We start from the raw sequence: 26979 nt of genomic DNA on the forward strand, positions 1-26979 counted from the left end.
GACACTACCATCTACTGAAAATTCCCGGTTTCTAAGCCACCTCCATTGTACCAGGAGGGAAGAGGGGTGTTTAACTTTTACTGAATTACTAGTTTTCTTCTCTTAAACTCCCTTAATGTTTTATTTTTGATTATTTAGATCCTGTCTTATTTCCACAAATAATTCAGAAATGTGTGTGAAAATTTATAAAGTGAAATCGGATAGAAAAAATGAGTTAAGAAATAGCAAAAATTTATTAGGAAACTTTATTAGAAAAATAAAGTTAAGACTGTCATATGGTTAGCATGCAGAAATGTGAATTTTTACACAATACCTAATAATATGTCCAAAATTTAGCTTTGTGATTCCTAGCACTAAAAGAAAATAGAGAAACAATAGCATTTATAAGATTCAACAGAGCCATAATATAAAATTTACCTATAGATAACATTTAGTGAGAGCTTTTTAGGTGCCGTGTACCACTCTAAGCAACTTACTTATATTAACTCATTTAAACATCACAACAATCCCATAAAATAGGTACTGTTATGGTCCCATTATTAGAGATACGAAAATTGAGGCCGATTTAAGTCACTGCCTCAATAACTTGGATTCAGACTTAGGCAAATCAACTGCAAAGTCAGTGCCTTTAACTACTATACTATAGCCTATTCTAGACATTAATATTATTTGGTTTTACCTTTTTTATTTTGAAATCATTATTGACCCACAGAAATGTTCAAAGGTAGTACAAAGAGATCCTGGGTGTGCTTCACCCAGTTTTCCCCAATGGTTACTTAATTATAATACAGTATCAAAACCCATATGGTATAATATCAAAAGATACCAACACATTTAGTACTATGTGCGTCTATAGTTTTATGCCAAACAAAACATGGAACTATTCCATTACCACAAAGATCTGCCTTGTGCTCTCCCTACATAGTCAAATCTGCACTTTTTCCCCTACCCGTCCCAACACTTGATAAGCATCAGTTTGTTTTCCACCTCTGCAGTTTTGTCATTTTGAGACAGTTATTTAAATGGAACCATAGAATATGTAGCTTTATGAGACCAGCTTTTTTGCTCAGCATAGTGTGTTTTTAGATTCATCCATGTTGCTGTGTTTATCAATATGTTGTTCCTTTTTATTGCTGAGTAGTATGCCATGGTGTAGATGTACCACAACTTGTTTAACTTTTCACCTGTTGTAAGCCATTTTATCTGCTTGCAGTTTGAGCTATTACAAATAAAGCTGCTGTAAAAATGTGTGTGCAGACTTTTGCATTGACATAAATTCTCATTTTTTGGGACAAATATACAAGAATGAGATTACTGGAATGTATAGTCAGTGTATATTTAGTGTTATTATTTAATGAACATGCCAAACTATTTTTTCGTACTGGCTATACCACTTTAAATTTCCATGAGCAATGTATACATCCAGTTTTTACACACCCTTGCCAAACTTTTTATTGCCACTATTTTTTAATTTTAGATGTTCTACTAGGTGTGTAGTAATATCTTGTAATGGACTGGAATTGCTTTTGTGTATTCAAGCCTGTTTGGAAATTGTTCAAACTATTATAGAAATTAGGAGACTTGAATAGCCTTTTTGATGTTGCCTATAACTACTTCTGTTACTTAATGTAGGTCCTTAACTTGTATGAATCTCAGCTTTCTCTACTGAAATGTAGGAATAATAATTACTGCCTTATATCCTTATTCCAATGAAGATGAAATTATAAAATATATATGAAAGTATCATTAAACATTGCTCTTTTGCAACATGAAACCAATGTTTTGATTCAGATAATTTTTTTTTTTTTGAGACAGAGTTTTGCTGTGTGACCCAGTCTGGAGTACAGTGGTACAGTCAGTGCTCATTGCAGCCTTGACCTCCCGGGCTCAAGCAATCCTCCTAATTCAGCCTCCAGAGGAGTTGGAACTAGAGGTATGCACCACCATGCTCAACAAATTTTTTGTTTGTTTGTTTGTTTGTTTGTTTTTTGGTAGAGATGGGATCTCACCATGTTGCCCAGGATTTATTTTTAAAGATCTAGGAATTTAGGGATTTTCCCTCTTCTTTTTCTTTTTAGTAGTTCCCACTGTCTTTCCTCAACTAAGCATTTGCGTATGTTTTGCTTTGCCTGAAGTGAGAACTCCCAAATCATTAAAGGCATTTTACTCTTTGTTATTATCAACATTCGAATAAAGAAAGCATCTAAAATATTTTGCTTCTTTGTTCCATATAGTGGCAATAAAATCATAGACTCTCATAGCTTGAACGACATTAGCAATTATATAGAGCATCCTCATTATTTCATAGATCAAGAGCCAAACATTCAGCTAGTGTAAATGACCTGCCCAAGCCCCCCAGCTAATTGAGAATGTTTATAGGAATAACCTCCAGTTGTGAGGAGTCCTAGGTAAAGATACATTCCCACTGAAAGCTGTTGGTCCATCTATAGAATTCCTCCTCCCCCACATGACTGAACCACAGCTTGCTTTCTTGTTTATTTCTTTGTGCATATGTCTCCTTGAGGGCTCACAGCATGCTTCTGGTTCCCATACTCTCACTCATAATGGCCAATATCCTTTTTCCCTTCTGGAAATCCTTCCTGTGCCCTGTGAAGAGTTCTTCTCTCATATATACACCCTCATACACTCCTCACATTCTTCCCCATCAGTCTTATCCCCTTCCTCCAATTACTGCCACCTTCATATCTCAATCTTCCCTCTTCTCTATACATAGCTCCCCTCTCTGGATCTTCCTTACTCCTCCCTCACAGCTCATAACCCAAAACCCATACTTATTAATCCTTAAGGACTTTTCCTTCCCCATCCCTCAGTATCTGTGTAGCAATTTTTAGCCCTCCACAGGGTTTAGGAATAACGCCTTTTAGTTTGTCTTGTTGTGATTTCAATTATGTTTTACCCTTAAAGTGTACAAATTTAGGTGCTTGGTTGTTTATCTTTATAATTTTAAAATAATTTTAAATTCACAAGAAGTCACAAAGAAATGTACAGGGAGGTCCCATGAACTCATCACTTAGCTTTCTCTGATGTTAACATCCTGCACAACAAGCATACAATATCCAAACCAGAATACTGATACTGGTACAATCCACAGAGTTAATTCAAATATTACTAGGTTACATGAATTCATTTGCATGGTGTGTGTGTGTGTGTGTGTGCGTGTGTGTGTAGCTCTGTGCAATTTCATCACATGTGTAGTTTCATGTAACCACCACCACAATCATTTATCTGTATCATCCCACAAGGCTCCCTCATGATACCCACTTTCAGTCACACCTACTCTCCTCAATGCATGTCCCTAGCCTTTTTCAAACACTAATCTATTTCTGCCTCTATAATATTGCATATGCATTTTAAAGTGTCAAGTTTTCTTCATGGATGGACCTTTTTTTATCATTATGTAATATTCCTTTCTGTAGCTACCTTCCTTCTTTTTTCTTTTTTTTTCTTTTGAGACAGAATCTCACTCTGTCACCCAGGTTGGAGTGCAGTGGTGCAATCTCAGCTCACCTCCTGAGTTCAAGCGATTCTCCTACCTCAGCCTCTCAAGTAGCTAGCACTATAGGCCTGTGCCACCACATCTGGCTAGCTTTTGTATTCTTTTTATTTTAGTAGAGATGGGGTTTCACCATGTTGACTAGGCTGGTCTCGAACTCCTGACCTCAAGTGATCCACCCACCTTGGCCTCCAACCTGCCTTCTTTTAATTAATGTTTTTATGGTTTATATTCTTCATCCTTTTACTTTCTACTTACCTATATTGTATTTTCAGTGAGCTTCTTATAGCCAGTATAGAGTTGGGTCATGGCTGTTAATCTCTGCCAATCTATTTTTTTAATTGTTGCGCTTAGATCACTTACGTTTAATGTAAAAATGTGTATGTTAAGGCTTAAGTTTGCCATTTAATTATTTGTTTTCTACTTTTCTCTGTGGTTTCCATTCTCTGTTTAAATTTATCTGGCCGTGTGAGAGTTATTTGAACATCTTTTAGAATTCCATTTTGATTTATCTCTAGTGTCTTTCAGTGCATCTCTTTGTAAAAGTTCTTTTAGTTGTTGTTCTAAGCATACATCGTATATCTGTAACTTATCACAGTCTAATAATGTTGATATTCTGCCAGACTGAGTGAAATGTGGACACTTGACTTCCCTTTCCACCCCTTGACTCTCATCTGTTTAAAATTGTCTTCAATATCTCTTCTACATACATTAAGAACCACAAAGATGCTGTTATTATTTTTGCTTCAACCATCAAACATAATTTAGAAAGCACAAGAGAAGGAAAATATATTGTATTTACTCACATATTTACGCTATCTATTCTTTTCCCTCCTGATGTTCCAAGATTCCTTATTTTATCATTTCCTTTTGTCTTAGAGAACTTCCTTTAGCCATTTTCTTAGGATAGTTCTGGTAAGACAAATTATCTTAGATTTTTTTTTTTTAAATCAGACAATGACTTGATATCCTCTTCCAACATCCAATTGGCATCAGTTAAACATCACCTGATTGTTTTTTCTCATTCAGGTTGTGAATTTTCTAGGTTCTTGGTACAACGAGTGATTTTTCTATTATATCTTGGACATTTTGGTTACTATGTTAGGAGACTTCTGCTCCTATTTAAACCTTCTATTTTTGATTGTACTCACCATTTTTAGGTTTAGCATGTAGGCTGTGGCCTACTTCTGTGGGCTTTAATTCCAATGACAGTTTAGTTTTGGAATTAAGTGACCAATGGCAGTCTAGTTTCGAATTGCTATCCCAGTTCTGCTGGGGCCCCTGCTTGATTTCTATTGGTGCTGCCTGCGGGGTCAGAAGAAATATCCTGGGTTATCTTCTGCCAGAGGGTAAGGGAGGGGCAGTGGAGAGCTATAAGAGCTGGGCCTAGGTCTCTTTATGACACTGAATGGAAGGCAGGGAGACACTGGGCTGGGACTATGGGAACTCTGAAGCGGCTATTTATGATAGATCTCAAACAGCTGGTCTCTTACATATGGAGACGGTGTTGGGCTCCTCACCAGGTCTCTCCTGGGTTTGCCCACTCCTAGCACTATGTGAGATAGAAAGAAAACTCAGGGAACTCATTTTATACTCATAAGCTCCCTACTCAGTATTTCTTCTTCTCAGCTATTTGAGTCCTATTATCATTGTGTTCTGAATTACTTCCAGGGCATTCAGTCATAGAAGGATGGAGCACGGAAACATGAGCTATGGCATCTTCTTCCAGAACTGAGCTTTCCAAGTGCATTTACTAATTTACGTATTTTAATCTTGGCAATTACTTTGAGGTAGATAATACACAATCTTTTATTTTCCACATATGACAGTTTAGGAAAGAAAAATTAAAATTAATAAGATCCTTGCAATGTCACCAAGGAAGGCAATATATATAAGTGAATCACATACAGAGCTGTACAAATGCGTGCCTATATATAGGCAAAAAAAAAAAGATAGTTATGACTGTGATCCTGAACAGACTTACAGCTATATTATCTACTTTAATCACAAAATAAAGCAATTTGGAATGAATGAAAAAGCTTTTAAAAGTTACTGTAATTTATACACTTTTTTCAAATGTCATTATAAATCACATTTCATTTTTCATCATTTTTCACGGCATTGCTGGGGAATCTACTTAGCAACATTTTTCAGTTGTGTTATTTTATAATTACAATAAAGAAAACACAGCTTTATGAATTGATTCTTCTTACAAAACAAGATATCCCTTGTTAACAAGACGCAAAGTAATTGTATTTACTAAAAAGTTAAAATTCTTTGTGTATATTTGGAGATTCTTCTTCATATAATGGTTTTTCTTAAATTCTCAGACATTTTAGAATTTCCATGTTTTGGTGGGAAATATTCCTTTGGTTTTATGTAACTAAGGAGAGCGTATATCAAATCTTGAAAGAGAAATGAAATAATCCTATTAACATGGAAAGAAAGGGATAAAAAGAGTTGGCTGAAGTCAGATTATATTCACTGCAGTGATTCTTGACTAAATGTATACATTTTTCGCATGCACTATCTTCAATTTAAAATAATAATCATAATGCAAATAGAAATGTTGATACTTTATTTTACAGTTTGTTTAATTCATTCGCATACACTGTTTTCATTTCATTACCAAACATTTCCTTTGATTCACGAACTACTGAGCATTCCAGTGCTCTGGTCCATGGTTTCCTGGGTTTAGATTCTAGCTCTACCCTATCCTAGCTGGATGCCTTTAGCAGGTTACTTAACTTCAACCCTTCTGTCCCTCAACTTTCTCATCTCAAAAGTAGTACAGTTTTCAAGGAAAATTAAATGAGAAAATAAAGGAAAACACTCAGGATAATGCCTGCACACAATAAATACTTAATAAATGTTACTTATTGTTATCTCCATTTTATACATGAGGACCATCTGGTTCAACCGATAAGCATAGCTCACATGCAAGAAATGGATATGCAGCATATCTTGTACTAATTTATTTTGTATTAAAATGAAATGGATTTAAATTTTCTTTAAATGCTTTTGCAGAATTACACGTCAGAGCTGAAGAAATAGGGAGAGCTGATAGATAATACTGAGGAAGACCTTTACTGCTTGTCACAGAGCAGCCACTTTGGAGCTCAGAACTCTTATCTTTACAGCATCCCTTTGAATACTAACATAACCCCTTAGCAAACTATGACCTCGTACATTGATAATCACATCTTTGGACAAAGGCAGAGATCTACAAAATACAGGCAGCAGGCCAAATTGGACCCATTGCATGTTTTTGAATAGTTAGAAAGCTAAAAATGGCTTATAAAATACGAAACTTTGCAATCCATTTGAAACACTTACTTTGAAACCTAATTAAATAAAATGTTATCCTTCTCCTCCAAATTCCATAGTTCTCATTAGTAGACATGTCTGACCCCAAAATTATAAACAATTGTTATGTTTTTAATTACTTCAGTAAGACACTTGTGGAAATGTGTTTTCTCTCTTTAATAGATTATGCATGTACATAATGGTCTTGATTTTTTTGACTATTGGCCTATGAAGCCTAAAGTGCTTACTTACTAGCTGGTTCTTGACAGAAGAAGTTTTCCACTTCTTGTACTAAGATACTAATGAGACTCTTTGTATGAGAAAATGGCTTTTTGGCCATCAGGGAGGCATTTACTTTGAACTATATTTTTCCAATAGTGGTTATGAACTGCCTCTGTTAATCAGAGTTGATTTTTATCTACAATATATAATATTTAGCTTTGGGATTTGAAAATATTTATTTTGAGTTTCTATTAGACTAGAGTACCTTTCTGTGTAATTTTAGCTTGATACTATGACCTTATAGGACGAAGGTCAACCTTTTGCAATCTAGCAGAAGAAGCCTGCAGGAGGTGTGAGAGGTTCCTTTCCTTTCCTTCCAAGTAACCCAGAAAGATTTTTCTTTTCTTCTGTGAAAATCCAGGATGCACATTATTAGACTTCGTAGAGTCAAAAGATTAGGACATTCAAAATCATTTACAACTGTATTTCCTTCTCCTCAATGGTTAAAGGAAATCGACAATTTAAAAATTTGAAACTCATAAAACTATTAAAATTTTTACCGTGTATTTTTGTTTGTGTGTTTTGATATTAATGTATTTTTAACCTGCATCGAGTATTAACTATCTTTTGCTTTACTTTTCCCACTATCATTTTTCTATTATCAGCATATTCTCTTTTGTTCTTGCTGGAGTATCTCACACATTTAATATTCAAATGTCACTTTAAACCACTGCACTCTTTCCTCCCCCAATACATCTTTGTCTTCATTTTATATAGAACAAGTCTTTGCTTGGTGTACTCAAATCATAGAATTTGAAAGGTAGGGTATTACAATGTTTGTGAAACAGAGTTTGGGATTGAATTGGAATTCTAGTGCCTACTTTGCTGCTTGCTAGCTGCATGAACTGAATGAATTCCTGTAAACCTCAATTTTCTTCACTATAAATCAAGGATAAAAATAGTATCCAAGTCAGAGGATTGCTGTGAAAATTAAAGAAGCTAAGATATATAAGGTGACCAGCCCAGTGTTTGGAACACAGACACTGCTTAATAAATATATTATTACTAATAACAGAAGGATGGATTTATGGTTCAACTGGTCTAATCCCAACAATGTATAAAGGAGGAAACTAAGGCGAGAGCTAAGCCGCATATCCAAAGCTACCCAAGCACTCCCACTTATCAGCAGATCAAGGTTTAGAACTTCTCCCTTTAATTTCACTGCATAATCAACAAGCAGTTATTCTGGCAGCGGGAAACCAACTTTACCTCTTCAAAGATTAGTTTATATTATGTGACACACATAGCACAAAACTAATTATATCTATCGCCACTCTTTTGTTCATGGGATACTGTAGGTCTGAGCAGGGCTTGATTATTGTAAGTTGATTTGTTCTTCTTGTAAAGTATCACCCTCAGCCCAGCCCTTCCCAGGACTCAATACAAGAAGTTATTGGATCATAGTAATAACTAAAGGAATATGTTATCTATTCTCATAATACAAATATAATATTTTAGAAAATTTCAGATATTAAAAGTAATAATGAAATACCCTTTATTTAATAAGCACCTAGCTCTATGCCAGGCCCTGTGCTGTTAGATTGAAAAATAATATCTTAATTTTCACAATAATCATGAGAAATAGGAATCAATGCATCCATACAAAAGTGGTATTAAACTGGAAAAAATCCCTATAAATATAACAGATTTTTTTAAAGGGTTGAGGCATATTCGGGCAGGTTGCTGATGTAATAACTAGGAAGCCCTTTCCACTTCTGAAGGCCATTTCCTTGGAAAATAAAACTAAAGTCTTATTGCCTCTGCGGAGCTGTACATCAAAATATTTTGGTGCCCCCTAGAGGTAATCAGTAATGTGCAATTGTCAACCCCCAGGAATGAGAAGCTGAAGACAATTCAGCAGCTGTTATCTATTATTCTTTGCTGCTTCATTCTCCGTACCAATGTGTCACAGATACAAACACAGAGCAGCTCTTGAGTAATGGATCTCAAATTTTAGTGAACATCAAAATCTCTTGGAGGGCTTGTGAGAACACAGCCTTCTGGCTTCTGTTCCCAGATTTTCTGATTTTGTGGGTTTGAGTTAGGGCCTGAGAAGTTGTATCTCCAACTACAGTCCTGGCGATTACGATGCTGTTGGTCCAGGGACCACATGCTGAGAACCACTCACCTAGAGAATCATCTCAAAGTCAAAGCTATGTCCAGAAGCAGGTCAGGTTTCAGTATCCTTGAAGTGCTGGTGCTGAGGACTCTAGCTCTTTACTGCTCCCTGTAGATGCCCTTAAGGAGTGTGTGCAGAGACATGACCATCTCCTGTATGAGGGTGATCATTCCTGAGGATCTATAGATTCCTTGATCCCCACGAGTTCCAGTGGATCTACAGATAAACAGTTGGGTGAAGAAGAATCAATTGAGAATTGAGGTCAGAGAACTTAGGTTCTGGTTCTAGCTCTGCCATTTAATAAGCTGCGACTTGCATGAAGACCAACATCCTCTACTGTAAGGAGTGAAATAGCAACCATCACTGTGGATGTAACTCTGTCAAATAGCTTGGAATTTAGTAGGCTTGAAACAAATTTTGGTTAAATCTTAATTTCCATTATATTAGGGTTCCATGTCTACGTTTCCAATACAAAGATATTGTGAGAAATATCAGATAATTTAAATGAAAGAAATATCAAATAATTAAAATGAACACATTGCAACAATGGAAAATAGTAACATGAAGGCAGTTAAATTCAAGGAATTAAGTTTCATGAATTTGATCAATGCAATTACTGTTACCTACCTCTGTTTAAAAAGACAGAGAACAATAATTTTTACTCTTCTTTATCTCTTTTTCGTAAATTCTCTTTTCTTCCTCCCTTTTCCCATATAACCCAACTTCACAACCTTTTTATTTCAAAAAAATGCAAAGTTTATTAGACATTTAATAACCTACACATTATTCTGATGCTTTTTATTTCTTTGCTGCATAGGTGATTGTCTACATTGTTTCCAAATTATTGTACGAACTGGATTTTTTTTTTTTTTTTGCAAGATAATAGGAGACTCGGATATTGGCTATAGTGGATTCCACTTCTGCTTAATCCAGGTCAGGATTTATGGAGACCTCATGTGGTGACAAGAGGCACCACAGAAGGCTTTCTTCAGGCTGGGTTTAACAGTGAAAGAGAAACTCAGAAATTCATATGGGAGCAAAATAATCCATAAAGAATTAAGACCTAGAAGTTAATGTTTCTGAAGCCTGCAAGGCCTTCAACAAACATCCTGCAGTAATACTAATGGAATAATACAGTAATATGTTAAAGGACAGGAGACCTGGTTGTTTATGTATGTATAAAATTCCCCTTATCAACTAAAAAGTTAATAACGCAAAAAATAGTAAGATATGCCTCTCAAGAATTAATTACAGTCTTTCTTTTTTCTGAATGAAATCCACTGAACATAGCTTCTTATTTAAATTGGCTTCAAATTTTAAAAAGATGTTTCTGTAGGCATGTTGCTATGTATGTTAGTTTCTCCTTGGTTTTACACAAAACAGAAAGTGATCAGAGATAGAATGAAACTTGAACTTATGTCTGTGAATTTCACTTATGCAACAATATCAATAATATTATTTATAAATATTTGGAATGCAGGATATGTTCTTGGAATTAAAATATGGAACAACAATTCTATGTGGTGCACAAAGTTGAACACAAACACCTCTTGTTGCTGACAAGATATTAAAGTTGTGAAATTAAATAAATTAATGTATCAGCAACCATATTTAACCACATAATTTACTGGTACACACTAAGGAAAATTCACTGAGGGTTGGGGGAGCTCCTTCCTCAATGACAGGTACTTGTTCTTTATCTCATTTTCCTTACAAGAAAATGTGACAAGGGCTTCTTTTTTCTCCTCCTCAAGGAAGTTACATAACAGACCTTTAAGCTAAAATCTAGAAGGACAAATGAGTTAATAAATGTCAAATGTTTTTGAAGGTTTTAAAAGAATAGAGCAATATAAATCTGTGGCATTAAAATGAGTAATCCTAAGAGTTCCAATTCAGTTATCAGATGGTACCCTGCCTTTGGGCGTGTCCTCGAAAAGGCTTACGTTTTCCAAGGCAGGCAAAATGAGGTAAGTAGGGGTAGCCATTATGAAAGGACATCTTAGAAAATGTTAACCAGGAAAAACGTTAATGAGGATATTGCAGAGATTTTAGGTTGAGCATACTCTTGAGTTAAAGAAATCGGTTACTTATGAGGAAACCTATTATGTGGCAGGCATAGATGCTGGAAATACAAAGAGTTGGACAGGTCTTGCTTTCAAGGAAGCTTCTAATAATTATACAAATAACTACTACAATATGAGGCTGGTATTAGGCGGGGGCTTGCACAAATTCCAGGGAAAGCTTCTTAACGTGGAAATGGGAGGAAGAACAACAATATGATGCATATTAAATCCAAGAGAAGGAGCAGAGTCATTTAGATGTCATTTCAAACTTACAGTGACATTGGCTCTTGCTGGGGGGGAAAGGGGGGCGAGAGAGGCAGCCGTTGCCAGACATACGTCACACTAAAGAGACAAGATGAAACAAGGAAATTCTCTTTCAAAACATAGCGGGGAAAAAAATATCCAGAACTGCCCTGAAATAAAGAAAACCTTCTGGTATAATGTGCGTTGCTAGGGATTTATTTTTTCCCCTCCTTTCTCTCATAAGAGAGTAAAAAATCACACAGATACGTTCAAGCCCTTAAGAGTTTTGTGAGCCTATTGAATATCCAAGACATCAACTGACCACGGTGTGGTTCAGTGTGTGTCTACAAAGGAAGGGTTAAACGGAAGGGGGTGGCTTGGAGATAGAAAGGCAAGCAAGAAGGTTGGAAAATGCTGTTTTCCAACTTGCAAAAACTGAACTTTTCAGCTCCCCAAAATACACGTGTGTGTCTGTAAGCGCAGGCAGATCTATTTCGGTAGGATTTTTCTTAAATTTAAATCATAATTTCTCTGTTTCTGTCTCTCTGTCTCTTGCTGCGCTGCAAAGAGTGAGCAGCCCCCTTAAGGATCGCGTGGCAAAAGCTGCAGGAGAGGCACTGGCAGGGCTGTTTATTTATGAGCCGCGTTCAAAGCCGACCTCTTCCCATTCTCCCACTGCAAACGACTATCTCCGAGCCCAGGTCACCTCTGGGGCCAAGGAGTTGGGGGCTGGGGCTCGGGTGGCTCCTTCTTCGGGCCAAGTTTGCCCGCGCGTGGGAGCGAGGGGGCGAGCCAGGGCGCACGGGAACGCGCGCCGCCAGCCGCCGCCTCCGCCCAGCGCTGGCAGCCCCGGCCTCACCTCTCCCCTCTCCCCAGCGAGGTGCGGGCTCCCAGAGCGGAGCCAGGGGGCGGGCCTGGGCCTCGAGGGGCGGGGTCAGGGGGCGGAGGCTCGGGCGGCTATATAAGGCCCGCGCCGGCTCAACTTCGGACTTGGTGTTATTTATTTGGGAAGCGCCCGGACGGCGGAGCTTGGCGGCGGCGGTGGTGGTGGCTGCCGCAGACTGTGGTTAAAAAAAAGAAGGCGGCGGCGGCGGCGGCGGCGGAGGCGGAGGCAGCTGCGAGGCATGGGAGCGCCGAAGCGCCCAGGCGCAGGCCGAAGCTGCCGCGCTTTCTGGGCACGGCGGGAGTGCTGAGCAGAAAGGGGAGCGCCGGGGGCCCGCAGCCGGCTCCGGAGGCGCGGGCCGGGTTTTTGTTTGGCTACGCTGAGCGCCAGTCAGCCCCAGCGAACAACTCCAGTTACGACAACAACCCACCTTCCTTCCAGACAAGCGAGACTTGGGCTGCTGCGTCCGTCCTATTGTTTAGACACTTGCCAGGGGCTCCGGAGTCGGCAGAGCCACCGAGTCCCCGCTCTGAGTCGTCGCCCTCCCTCTCCCCGACCTCGCTCCCTGGAGCGGGAGGCCAGGAAAGCAGCGGGAGAGGGGAAGGGGCTAGAAGGAGAAGGACTACCCGGGACTGCGGCCGCCGCGTCAGGTGCAGCGCCAGGAGCCGGGCGGCGTCGCCACGCCGGCAGGGGTACCGCCACTGTGGCCTTGGGGGACGGAATTCAAAGCCTGGGAAAAGTTGCTGCACTTTGAGAAGGACGAACCACTAGTGGGAGACCGCCGGGGGCCGGCCGTGGCTCTGCGCCCTCCGGAACCCGGCTCTTGTTTCTTCTACCTTTGCCATCAGGTGTCTGCCGCGGAGCTGCGGCTTATCTGGGAGACGAGCGGGGTTGACACGCGCGCACACACTACTGCCATTCAGCTGCCGCCTGGCTCTGCCTGGAGTAGTGGATCCCACCCGCCCACCTGCCACCGAGCCATTCTCCAGTACGCCCCAGCAGGACGCTGACACCTCCAACCTTGGCCTTTGCCTTTCCACTCCTTCCGGTCTGCCTGGTTTTTAAGTCCGCCCCCAGTCAGTCCCCACTCAGTCTTCGCAGCAGCTCTCATCCTCCACTTGGCCTCTTGGAGTTCCTCGCCGGAGTGCTGACTAGTGGATATTTCTGCCCGGCTGCGGCGGCCCGACTGCCCTTTTGTCTTTTCTGCGTGACCTCGGGGCAGGTCCTGGTGCAGAGCGTCGCCAAGGACGCCGAGCGGGAGGCGGGATTGCCCAGACATCCTTCAGCGAAGTGCATGTGTGTTTGTAAACCATCGTTGGCTGTCGGGAGACCGCGAGGACCGGTCCAGGCTGCGGCGGAGTCGAGGGCGAGGGAGAGGCCGCGTGAGTGAGCAGAGTCCAGAGCCGTGCGCCCCCAGAACTGCGCGTCCGCCCCGTGCACCCCCGCGCGCCATGCCCAGTTGCCCCGCGCGCTCTGCTACGGGCCCGCTGGGCTTCCGCGCCTTCTAGCTTCCGGAGCCCACTTTGATCGGGGCCATAATACCTATTGAGATCCCCTCTTCTGTCTTGTACCTTCGCCACTGGCATCGGATTTGCAGAAGCGTGCGTGGGATCAGAGGACCGCCCTCCCCACAACAACCGGCCCCTGCATCTTAGCAGCCGTTGGAAGCCCCAGCTCTTTTACCGCCAAGTTCATCCTTGGGAGACAGAAGACGCGTGATCTCCTCTCCGCTGCTCTTGGGGTCTCCTTGCAGCCCTGGCCAGGCGGATTCATCCTCAGGACCTAAAGTTGCCCAAGGAGCTCCTGCTCTGCCAGAGGAGGGTGGAGAGGGCGGTGGGAGGCGTGTGCCTGAGTGGGCTCTACTGCCTTGTTCCATATTATTTGGTGCACATTTTCCCTGGCACTCTGGGTTGCTAGCCCCGCCGGGCACTGGGCCTCAGACACTGCGCGGTTCCCTCGGAGCAGCAAGCTAAAGAAAGCCCCCAGTGCCGGCGAGGAAGGAGGCGGCGGGGAAAGATGCGCGGCGTTGGCTGGCAGATGCTGTCCCTGTCGCTGGGGTTAGTGCTGGCGATCCTGAACAAGGTGGCACCGCAGGCGTGCCCGGCGCAGTGCTCTTGCTCGGGCAGCACAGTGGACTGTCACGGGCTGGCGCTGCGCAGCGTGCCCAGGAATATCCCCCGCAACACCGAGAGACTGTGAGTATGCGCTCTTCGTCTTCCCCTCTCCCCATCCGGGCCGCGCACCCCTGCCTCCACTGGAGGAACCTGTCAGCTCAGGGTCCTGTGCCTGGGGCAGCCCTCGCTAGCTCTCCCCCATGCACATCCTGGGGTTGAGCTCTCCGGGAGGGCACTGGCCAGGGAAGGGCCTCTGTCCAAGGAGGGGCGGGTCCGCTGGCAGCTGCGCTAGTTCTCCCTCCCCTGCTCTCGTCCCGCCACTCGCAGCTCCTTGCTGGCTAGTTCTCTGGGGCTGGGGAGCGGGTAGATAGGGGACAAGTACTGGAGGATGCCCGGGGCAAGTGAGACGCCACTTTGTTCTCCAGAGTCCATAAACGGAGTCACCTTGCGATTGCCAGCATCCAGGTCGGTTTCAGAGCCCAGTCCTCGCTCTTGTCGCAGGCTGGCGCGGAGGGGATAGCAGGGAGACTCAAAAGAGAGAAACTTGCCTTCCCCGATTTTTTGTCACCCTCCTGGGGGCGAAGGTTAGGAAGAAGGGGTCATGGAGTGCCTGGGGGTGCTTCTCACAGGTCGCGGGGAGAAGGGTGCCCCAGGACGGCGACACCTCGCATAGTAGCCTCGCGCAGCCCCCCGCCCCCCACTTCTCCGGGGAGGGGAAGACGGCGTCAGGCCCCTAGGGACTTGTCTCAGCGGGCGACTGCGAGGGAGGACCGTGTCCCATCCGTTAAGCGAAGTTAGCACTGGTTCTCCAGCGCAAACCAGCCCAACCAGGTCTTACCACTGCGGCGACCCGGCGGTGCCCGGCTGCCCCCTCCGGCCCTTCCTGCTGAACCCCTGCGTCCCCATCCACCTTTCTGGCAGTTTCTGCGCCCCTTCACGTGGCAGCAGTTCCCCTGCCTTCCCCTCTTCGCGCTCCGTTGCTCGCAGACGTCCCCGCCTCCCTGTCTTTGCGAGTCTCTAATGAAGAAGTAAATGCAGACCCGGTGTTGACGGCCCACGCGCTCCTGATGAGGCGCTTCCAGAGTTCAGCGAAGTGGAGCATGGAGGCCGTTCTCTTTGTGAACGCCGAGGCCGCCGCCCCGCGCCAGTCCGGCCGCCCTAGGCACGTTCCGCTCTCGCGGTTGCGTGTGGGCCGGGAGTAAGCGAAGGGCGCGGGGCTAGGCCGGCAGGGGCCAGCGCGTCTGGATTCGTCCCGCGGCCTCTTTGCCCCCGGGGTGTAAGGGTTTCGGGCCGTGGAGAGGAGGCGCTCTGACCCGCACGTCTCCACCCGCGCAGCCCATTGCACTTCAAGTCGCCCTTCTTATCCAACCCATTTCTCTCGCCCTTAGTTTTAAGGCCCAAGTTGAGCCACCTTTTGCTTTGCAAATGGCTCTTCTACCCCCAGCCTCACTAGGTTACCCTTACTCCTTTCTCACCTCTCCGAGCTGGCCAAATCGGGGCTCTACTAGGGGTGCCTTGTCAGGATTCGATCCACATTTGTGTAGGGTGGTGGGTGGAGATTCGTGTTATATCGAATAGCCCAACAATTTTAGGAACAACTGAATGGTACTCTGCTTAGCATGGAGAAGTGGGTTGAGTAGAAAGGAAGAGAAGCCACGCAGAATTCTGTTTTAGCACTTGTCATTTCATGCTATTCAGAACAGTTTAAAGTTTAAGCACGAACATGTCTTACTCAACAAAAAGGGAATGCACTTGGGTGGGTGGGGGTGAGGGGGGAGCGTAGCAATTGAATTTCAGGTCCTTGAAAAAATATACATCCTTATGAGGGATGAACAAAAAGTTTCCAGAAAATAGTTTACTGGGTGCTGACTTGTAAAATTCTATCATTGAAACAGTTTGAATACAGATTTCAAACATGATGTTGTAGAGTCAAAGGTGATATAGAGCTTACTTCTATGAAGAGCATTCAAACCGCAGCAAAGCCTGGTTTTACTTGAAGTGATTGGAACCAGGGCAAGTTTAGATCTTGACCTGAAATGCCAGAAAAGGAGATCGTGACTCCTGAAGGAAAAGTGCTGCAGAAATCTGAACAAAAATGTCAGGGCCTGAATACTATTTCCATTCTTGCCCCTGTTAGTAGTTTTCACTTTACAATCACAGCGGGGTTCCCTGAGCTGCAAATGAAGAATTAAGTTTTAATACAAACAGAATTGTTGGAAGGTAAATGCCTATGAATGCAAGTCTTTGAAGTGCAGTTGTTTTGATGGCACTAATTTTTTTCTGTGCCTTAGGAAGTTTCGCCACCATGCTACCTAAGGACAGTGTTCTGAATTTTTATAAAATTTCTTCCTGAATAGCATGAGAAAATTGGGCATTTAACCTCCTGAAGGGAACTTTTTTTTTGGGGGGGGTGCCTAACAATTATAGTAAAATAGCAGAATACCTGTGAAATTAATATACAATCCTTACAGAAACAAAAATGGAAAGGACTCTCCCATACACAAAACAAACGAAAACTTTTTTGTGATAATGTAACCACTTCATTTTCTTGTCATATGCCAGCAAGAATGAACCTTGTAAATGTGTTGAGTCATGTTAAAAATATCCTTTTAAAGGTTATCCTCTTCTCCTTCCTACATACTTTGTATACTACTTTAGTAATTGAATTAACTTTTAGTTCTGATTTACTCTAAACTTTACTTGAAGCAGGTAAACATAGAAATAAAATGGAACTTTCACTTTCTGGTTTTTCTCTTAGGGATTTAAATGGAAATAACATCACAAGAATTACGAAGACAGATTTTGCTGGTCTTAGACATCTAAGAGTTCTGTAAGTGCATCCTCTGTATTTTTAAATAATTTTTTAAGGTTGCATATTTTGAATCATTACTGGCCTCAGTTTTTATGACTATTCTGATGACAGTAACATAAAACATTTAAAAGGTCATGCTTTCCTTTTTTCTGTGTTTATCATTGTACTACAACATTTAATAAAAATTGGGGCTTTTATTTTAAGGTTGGAAGCATGCCATAGAACCAATAATCCAGAAATGACCTCAGATCTTTGTTATACCATACCCTAAGCGCTTTATGCATATAAAAATGTTGAATAATTGTTTTCACAAAATGAATAAGTAATAAGAAACATTTGATACTTTTAGGATTTGAAATTAACTAAAATATTTAAGTGGATCTGTATTTTATTATTGATAACAAAAGGATTCTTATTTTTTTGCGAAAATCTAATATCAAGCATTAAAATCAACCATTCAAATTTTCAGCAGAGTTTATAATGATACATTAGTCATATTTTGAGTTTTTATATTTTGTGTCTTTGTAGCTTCTATAAAATTGTTGCAATATGATTACTTCTTTAATTAGTGGGTTAAATTAGCTGTGAGTAAACCACCACTTGCGAGTCAATGTAATGTTAAATTGTTCTCACCCACAGGATTGTAAATATTGACATCCCAGTAGCCATACAGTTTTGACCATTGTGCATTCAGTGTTCTAAGTTTTAAGAGACACATTTTGGTCATTACAAATTATTCCAGTTGCTGATGTGTATCCATGTCAGAATTGAAGTATGTATATGATGAATTACTGTATTTTGATTCTTTGGTTAAGTTGAAAACCAGTGTATCAAAGAAAGCTATCAAAGCTTCAGTGTCAAGGATTACTCTTCAGATATACTATTAGTTTAAGGGTCAGAGTTTTGACCAGTAAATCTCATGAGAAACTGCATTTGTATTAAGTTTTGTGATGCAGACACTGCTATTTCCCTTCCATGAGTTCACTCAGATATATTATTATTAAATTTGATATTGGATCTCAAATCAGAGCACAATTTAACTTTATAAAGGGAAAGAGTTTACAAGTTTTCAGTTGCTGAATTGAAATTTATTCAGATGGTGAGTGGTAACATTAAGAAGCATGTTATATTTTGCATTTCAGTCAGCTTATGGAGAATAAGATTAGCACCATTGAAAGAGGAGCATTCCAGGATCTTAAAGAACTAGAGAGACTGTAAGTATTTTCAATTCCAAAGTTATGACAACATAACTGTGTTTTTTAAAAATACTTAAATTTCAAGCATCATGTCTTCAATTTCATGTCTTAGGGTTTGAAATTTTGCAGAAAAAGGAGGATGAATGAGTGGTTTTCAGGTTAATTTATGACAAATAGAGTTCCTGAATAAAAAGTTCTAACTTGTAATTAAGCTCAAAAATACAGTTACTTTCCTGAGACATGTATTTCCTTGATAATCATTGCTTTGGTACTTAAAGATGTACAAGCATTTCTTATTCTTCATTTGATTTGTTTTATTTGCTCATGTAGGAAGAAAGGTGGTACTTTTATTTGCGTTAATGGTGCATTAGGGAAGAGAGAAGTTTTGCTAATTGTTATTTTCATTTTCATGGTGGTGCTTTGTGTGTTATCAGTGACATTTGATGAAATATTTTATATTTTACTAATAAAGATTTACTTTTTTATATTTAGCGTGGTGAACATTGTTATTGTTAATAATTACTTTTCAGTTTTATTTTATTTGGCCCTAGCTTTAAAAATATTTATTCTGGAAAAATAATCTAAACATTATGAAAGTAAGAACTGTGTTATCAAATTGTGGTCATTCAAAGTTGGTTTTCTTCCCAAGAAGATTAAATGTAGACTTCAGATTTTAAGATACGTTTTTTACATATTACTTGAGGACTTTAAAAATGTTTACAGTATATATCTGCAAAAGACAAAACCTCTGTCTGAAATAATTAAGATAAATTACAGACCTTGTAATTGAAGTACGAATTGTATGTCTTACATGCCTTGATTATTCAGGTTTGATATGTTTGCATTTTGAAGGCAAAGAAAAGCTCTAGTAAAAGAAACAACAATTATTTTAATAAGTTTTCATGCCTGCCTTAATAGTCACTTTAAGTAAAAATAATTTTTTTCAAAAAATAATAAAATCTAATGTTCATTTTAAGCTTAACACATATTCAGGTTCACTGGGCAAAAGGGCAGAAGTTAATTCCCTGTAATTGTCCATAAGTAGAAAAATGGTTTGTCCCCTTCCAAGATATTTATAAATATATAGACTATATTTTTATCACCTCAAGTAAAACACAGAAATGTCTACTTTATTTTACTATTGGTCTTTCTCTATGTTAAATATTACAATACAAGGACTATAATTGTGGAATTCAAAATAAATTTAAAATCACTACTTTCAACTAATTTTAGAGGGAAATTAAAATTGGTAAACATTTGGTTGCATTCATAACAAAGCTTATAAGTTCATAGCCTATCTCTAAATATATAAAAAATACTCTGAAAGTATTTATTCTTTGATCTCCTTGATAGACTATGTGATTAGCTAATTCCTAGTAAGTAACTTGCAAAGATATTTTAATCTTTAAGAAAGCATCAATATAATTCAAATGTTTGGTAAAATGAATAGATAATTTAAATTATCATTTAAACTTTATGTTTTCAAGAATAACTTTTAGTCACCACAGGAAAGTATCTTGAGTTTAGTTGTTAACTTCCAAACCATTGAAGGAGTTTTGATGGCTTTTTATGCAGTCTCTATTTTGGTTATATTGTTGTTTTAAATATTTTCAGGGACACTAGAACTAAACAAACTTTCTCATTCTTTTTCAAGTCACTTCAGAGTGTTGTCTGAACTTTCATCTTGAATAAATTAACTTTTCCTAAAACTTATTAACCAGATGCTATATGCTCTGAAATTTGATTAGAGTTGTAAGTAGGTACTATTTTTTGACTTTTACTTCCTCTGGGAATGTCACTTCATCTCAGAACAATTTTCTATTCTACTAAGACTAAGTCAGATGTTTCAGAGTGGGAGGAGGATTTGTAATTCTGAATGAAAACTAATATATATGCAGGACTTCTTTAAATCACCCCAGCTGTTGGCCAAGAGCAAATATTTCATATTTGTGAGGAAAAGCTGAGAAAATTCCTTTTGTTTACAACTGCCAAATCCATCTGATGGAAGCACATTGTTATCTGACAGCCAATTCATTTCCTTGGACTCTGGAATTCAAAACCATTTCTTAGGAACATTGTGGATACACTTTTCAAATATTTATTTTTTAAAAATACATTAAATGGCAAGGCAGGTTTGCTAAGGAATGCATTCAAGTTATTGTGAAACAAACTATTTTAAATTTTGTTCATTGTATTGATTTAAAAAATAAAAACTACAAAAACCCCAAAACTACCCAGAGAGTTCCATAATCAAACTGCTATGGCCTGTGGTATATATCTTTATTTTAGTCAGTGTCATTAACACCAAAAAATTGCTTGCTTTTTCAAAAGCTGCAAGAGACAATGTGAGAGACAAGAAGAAATCAATAAATTAGCTTTTTATTATGTATTGTGTAAATTTATATGGTTTTTAAGAATTTAGTTGTGAAATTTAAAATTGGAACTCAATTATGAAAAAAGTATAAAATTAGGTTTATGTTGTAAATCCCATTTATATACTGAATAGTGATTTAATTTTTATTCCTTGTATGAAGAACAAAATAAAATAAAAACATTAATTTTATTCTTGTGTAATTTATGGTTTTAAGTTATTTTCATTTTAAAATGATAAAATAATTCTAAATTACATTTTGTGAATATTTCATAGTTATACATTTTTCTTTTTCTTTTATTTTATGTTGATGGACTTTTAACTTGATCTATAGAAAAATCTGAAAACAGAAGATAAAGATCTGTACCTTTTAAAAATTCAGCTTTTTAATCTGCAAGAAACAGTCATGTTGTTGATTTGAATTTAATTGTAGCATGGAATGGCAAAGTCATTATTTGCAAATCAAAACATTATAGCTATAAAAGATAGTTTTCCCTTTCAAAGAGTGGATGAAATACAACATTTTCAGATAAACTGTCAAGGAGTTAATAGTAAAATACCTCCTCCTTTCTTTCCTCCTCCTCTCCCTCACCTCCTTCTTTTTTTCTTCCATTTTCTTTTCTTTCTTCCTTACCTCTCTAACTAGCTCCTTCCCTCCCCTCTCCTCCATTCTCTTACAACATGAGATAACACATCATTGTCAGAATGTGGTTGTGCATCACTGTAAAAGGAGGAAGTTGTAATCACGTCTGCATACCACGAGCACACATTATTTTCTGTTTTGACAGTTTGTTTCTGCACTCTCAGACCTAACATGTGCAGAGTCACATTTCCTAGGATGCTCTGTATTGCTAGTGGTACCTGTTTATCTGGGATGAAAATGAAGCCTTCAGTATGTGCCTTATATAGACTGTATTAGCAGGTCTCCTGTTGTTTAATCAAAAAAATTTTCAAATGAAATGTACTCTACCTAGATGACCAGTTAATTCAATGGAAATTCGGATAAAAAAGTCACAAATAAGCTGCAGTAAGAATCAGGACACTTAGGAAGTATATTTCTTTTATATACCTCAAGGAAGATACCTGTGTATATCTGCAATAAATTCTCCATGCAAAATTATTAATTTGAGTTTTTTTTGGATGCTGCATAATGTCCTAGAGGGTTAAAAAAATAACACTGGGACCCAGCAATGCTGTGGGCTTGTGTAAAATTCTCTTGTTCACACACTGTTTATGGGATTAGATACTACAGTCATTCACTTCTATTTTATGGTCTTTTAGGGGGACCCAGATCATGTCAGGGTTCCACTAGTGAAAACAATCTTCTTTTGAAATTTCCTTGATAATACAAATGCAAAAGTATGAGAAAGTTTTTGAAATTTTTTAGGGTTGTTATAGGATGTTTTATTATTTACTCCAAGACTGAAAAGTGAAATGCATATATGCCTAGGTTATGTTGGTAAGAATCAGTAGCATACTGTGAAAAGTCTTGGATATTAGGCTTTGTGTGAACACCGCAACCATCTTGTAACCTTAAAATAAGAAAATTGTGGAAATAACAAAGGCAGGCATGTGGAGTGTTCATCTTTTCCCACCAATACTTGGTAAATGTGTGCTTTTAAGACAAATATTGCTTTAACTTCTCCTAGTGTTAGTATAATTGGGTTTGAAATGACATTTTTCCCACTAGCTTTGTCATTTGATACTCATTTATGCTTGAAAATGAGCTCTGAAAATATTATTATGATAAAGCCATGTAAGGAATCTTGAACAGTCAAGCTGTTAACTTAGACATTTAAAGTTTCCAGCAAGTTGATATAAAGAACATATTCTTTTTAAATTAGAAAAGTCTAAGTCCCTTTACAGTGGAGCCTACATTTGACTAAACACTACATTCTAATGAGATGGTATGTAAAAGACAAATTTATTTTTTTTAAGGTGATGCTGAATTAGTTCTCCCTGCATACACATATCACTCCTAAGCATGGGACAGACAGTGTGAGTGAGGCTGAGGAAGTATGATGTTGGTAGGGTTTTTGTTGTAGGTCTTTACACATGAGTTCAAGTAGAGAATATGTTGTGGAACAGGTCTGAAAGAAAGCATCATTTATCCTGTGTTCATCAAGGATCTGGATATATTCTCTGTTTATCAAGGATTAGTCTCTTCTGACTAATCCGACAAGTTTATAGGCAACACATAACACATACCTTTTCTTAACAGAATGACAGTCTAACGGTGCTAATCTTCTTGGAAAAGAATTCAAGCCCATCTCAAAAGAATTGTTTTCTGGTATCTTTCCACACAAGTTTAAAATCATGGCAGTCATTTTCTTGGAAAGTCTCTTTAAAGGACACATCAAACTCTAACAGAGGCTGAGTATGCACATAGCATAAAATATAAGTGTTCCAAAAGATATAATAGCCATTATATGCCAATGATGTTCACCTATTCGTAAGCAATGTGGTCAATTTTAAATTAGGTTTACTGACGCTGGTCATAGAAAGCTTTAATCCCTGTGCGCTGTTACAAGTTTAGCAGAACATTGAATCCATCTGAGAGAATTTCTCATGCAACAGTTTTTATGGGCCTTGAAGTTTAATGGTGGTGAGAAGGCCCGTTTGCTCTTTGTCGACCATTTTATAAATTCTGAAGCAGTGAGGGTGTTTATTTTTCCCACATCTGTTTTGGGTCCTCTTTTGTGACAGTGTTTGCTGGATGCCGTGTCCTTTATACCTCCCCTGAAATGAGTAGTTTAGTTTGCACTGTTACAATGTATTTGTGGAAGCAGCCAGTGTCAAATATTTTACATTTAATTCCCTCTCTCATTTCTTTTGGATACCTTTCTGCTTGAATTGTGTCTTCTAGACTGAATTTCACAACTTGACATGGAAAGAGAGACATTTCTGCATGGACTTCATATATATTGCCATTATGTTTTTTCAAACCAAGTGTTATCTGCTGGACTGGAAAGCATATTGATGAAAATGCTTTCAGAACGAAAGCTTGATAATAGGGCTGTGATTTGATCTCATCAATATTGCTTTACGATAATATTTACAGAAAATTATTTGTGTGTCCTCTCTGCAATGTCCATACACTCTGAATACAGATGGACAGTTCTGGAGCATTGGCTCTTTGCTGCAGTTTGAGGTTCTAGAGTAAAAGCACAGAGTGTGGATTATCTAGAAATCCCTGTTCTTCGACATCTTATTTTATCTACTGATGCTTGGTGTCTCATGGAATACCAGGCAAATACACATCAATTGTACTGTTGATTGTGGTTTCTAACCAGATACAAGCTCCCCTTTCTCCTTTTAAAATCAGAAACGCTAGAAAAGAGTGATATCAGAAAATCTTTGGTTTTAATTCCACTGAGGGATCTTGATCACCTTGCTTCATCTTTCAAAACTTCAATTTCCTCATCTTTAAAACAGGGATAATCATTATATCTCATAGTGGCAATAAGTAAGATAATGTGCATAGCTTCACAAAATGCTGGGCACACAGCACTTAAATAACTATTATTCTGCATTTCAACATACCTCTCATATTTCTCAATAGCTGAGTTTAGGAATTATTTTATCTTAGCTGCTAAAGTGTATATATGATCCATTTGACTTTTTACGACCATATTTACATTTTTAAAAAATGTTCTTCCTAACGTAGTATATGGTCAACTGAAGAGATGTGAAGAAAAGCTTAACAACCCTTCAATGGTTATTTCAGAGTGTTTCTCATAGTCTCTCTGAGTCTATAGAGAAATACCGGGAAGTAAGGGGATAAAAGAGGGAGCAATATTTTGCTAATAAGTATTGACATCCCTAGCAAGGAATACAAGGGATTAAGTTATCATTGATATCACTGCTGAAGATGTAAACTTTATTTTATTTACATAATACAAAATAAATTTTAAAATCTGTGCTTTAAAAGTGTTAAAATAAAAACATTTTTATAAGAGAAGTCAAAATTTACCTGAGAAGGTGGCAAAAGAGGAGGCTAAATAGTTTTATGCTTGATCATTCATGTAGGAGAAATAGGAGGTTAGAAATGGTAGGCTTTGAGGCAGCATTTATCAAACATTTATTACAGACCTAGCACGCTGCTAAAAACACCTTATATTTACATGTAAATATGACATGTAAATATGGAGCACAAAATTTTACTGGCTTTGGTAAAACTGTTTTCATATTACGTTTTGAATTAGATGGAAGGTTGTGAACATTAATTGAATTGAGGTGAAAGTCGCAAAAAGTAAGAGACTATGACCTCTGCTAAAGGACAAGAGTCATAGACACAGCTGGCAGATAATAATTCAAAACAATGTTTGTCAATACGTTCAGGCTGCCCTTCAAATTGAGGTTGTTAAGAATCAGTGTTTCAGAGGCCAGTGGTGTTTTGTGCAATGCAGAAAGATCATTCTCTCTTCTGAAAGTCAAACTCAAAAATAGCTGGTAGCACAGAGCAAACAGTTACTGGAATCCTTTCTCATCTTTGCCCTGGGAGAAAGTATCTCAGAGACATACATTACACACCTTTCTGAAACTGTGAATTGCCATCTAGAGAATTATCAAGCATTTCTGGGATGTTGTGGGCAGATTCCATTGAGGGGTGATGACACATGACTTATATATCACTATATCTCTGTCATTCCTTTGATACCATTGAGTGTCTGTGCTCTCAACAATGATAATTGACTCACCTGGTCTGTTTAACAAAGCTAATTTATGTTGGCTCCCATAAATAATCCTCTGTGATATCTTTAATTCACTACATGCTGTTTCCTGTTCTGGAACCATCAGATTTAACTTCAACTCATTTACGTTAGAGATCTTATTCTGACACGATCATCTTCAAGCTGTTAAGCAAATTTCTGTCACAATTAGAAGCTAGGCTACTTTTTCTCTAGCTCTGTTTAGTAATTGTTATATACCTTAATAGTCTTTAAAATAAGTTTAAATTTTAAATAAATGCTCTTTATTTTAAGGATTTAATTTCTGGTGATTGCACAGGCGGCTATCCTTTAAAATTTTTCTTTAATATTTTGAAAGTTTTGCTTTTTCTGTTAATGTTTGTATAACCATTTAACCTTAGTATGGATGGAAGAGAGAATAGAAAAAGTGGAGCCAAATGTGTATTGATACTGCTTTAAAGACAATAAAAGGGAAACGTATACTGTTTTGTTGTATCCATATTACCACATTACTTACGTTATCTGTCCTTTTTGTGCAATACCACCTTGTCTTATCCTAAAAACAGAAACGTATCTGGTGGGTTTAGACATATAAAGATCACTCATAATAACTTTCATGAAATAATTATAAAGTACTGCAATTCAGAGAAGAATTCTTCGTATATATTTTCAGTTTTTTTTTTCTGAAATTTAAAATACCTAGTTTTCAACAGGTGTTTAAAACCATGAGCTGAACGTAGAGCTAGCTTTTTTAAAAAATAAAACTTTGTTGTATTTACAATTGCTTAGTTCATAGATATTTAAGAAATGGATCAAATAAATCTATGTTTTGCCTCAGGGAATACAGGTGAAAAGGAAAGCTTCCGCATTATATTATTCTGAATTATTGTTTAGGAATGTTTAGACTATATTTTTTCCAGAGGAGTGATTCAGAGGGTATGTTTTAGTGTCATACCACCTTTATTCAGGCCCTAGCTTTATGTCTTTGAACTCTGCACTTCTCTCCAGAACAGCAGTGAGAATTGTACTTACTCATGGGGATGTGGTGAGGAGTGAATGAGATAACTTGTATAAACCTCTCAATAGTGACCATCACCTAGTAAGCTTATTACTTACACAGTGAATTAGAACACATGTTAGCTATTAGTTACACAGTGAATTAGGAACCACTGGGAATAAGAAAGGGATAATAATTAAGAAAAAAAAAAACCACTTCTTGTATCCAGTCTGAAAAATCTGCTTTCTCACAATATATGAAACTATACTGATGTAGACTCGTTAACAAGAAAGCTGGTAGCAGCTGTTACTCACTTATATCTCTGAATTTGTTTAAACACATTGAATTCTTTCCAGCTTCTAGGTGATGCCGAGAATCACATCATCAA

General features: G+C 38.7%; 1 protein-coding gene across 7 annotated transcripts in view, besides 2 other annotated features; it reads left to right on the forward strand.

The window, feature by feature from the left end:
* The window catches only part of SLIT2 (slit guidance ligand 2), a 368657-nt gene continuing 354193 nt past the window's right edge, over window positions 12516-26979 (forward strand). For 5 of the 7 annotated variants that reach the window (XM_005248211.3, XM_006713986.3, NM_001289135.3 and 2 more), the window contains exons 1-3: window positions 12516-14605; window positions 17283-17354; window positions 18479-18550. In XM_005248211.3, the coding sequence (XP_005248268.1) occupies window positions 14427-14605; window positions 17283-17354; window positions 18479-18550 (323 nt within the window). In that variant the 5' untranslated portion in view covers window positions 12516-14426. Of the gene's footprint in view, window positions 14606-14843; window positions 14990-17282; window positions 17355-18478; window positions 18551-26979 lie in introns of those variants that run through there. The other 2 variants (XM_011513909.3, XM_017008845.2) reach the window with 1 other exon arrangement.
* Window positions 13632-14430: an enhancer, noted in NCBI's record as "H3K27ac-H3K4me1 hESC enhancer chr4:20254644-20255442 (GRCh37/hg19 assembly coordinates)". NCBI's record gives its function as "activates a minimal SCP1, AML or CMV promoter by ChIP-STARR-seq in naive H9 embryonic stem cells {active_cell/tissue: H9 hESC(naive)}" and the evidence as "EXISTENCE:reporter gene assay evidence [ECO:0000049][PMID:30033119]".
* Window positions 14431-15229: an enhancer, noted in NCBI's record as "H3K4me1 hESC enhancer chr4:20255443-20256241 (GRCh37/hg19 assembly coordinates)". NCBI's record gives its function as "activates a minimal SCP1, AML or CMV promoter by ChIP-STARR-seq in naive H9 embryonic stem cells {active_cell/tissue: H9 hESC(naive)}" and the evidence as "EXISTENCE:reporter gene assay evidence [ECO:0000049][PMID:30033119]".

Source organism: Homo sapiens, chromosome 4, assembly GCF_000001405.40.
Source record: "Homo sapiens chromosome 4, GRCh38.p14 Primary Assembly".
Taxonomy (NCBI): domain Eukaryota; kingdom Metazoa; phylum Chordata; class Mammalia; order Primates; family Hominidae; genus Homo; species Homo sapiens.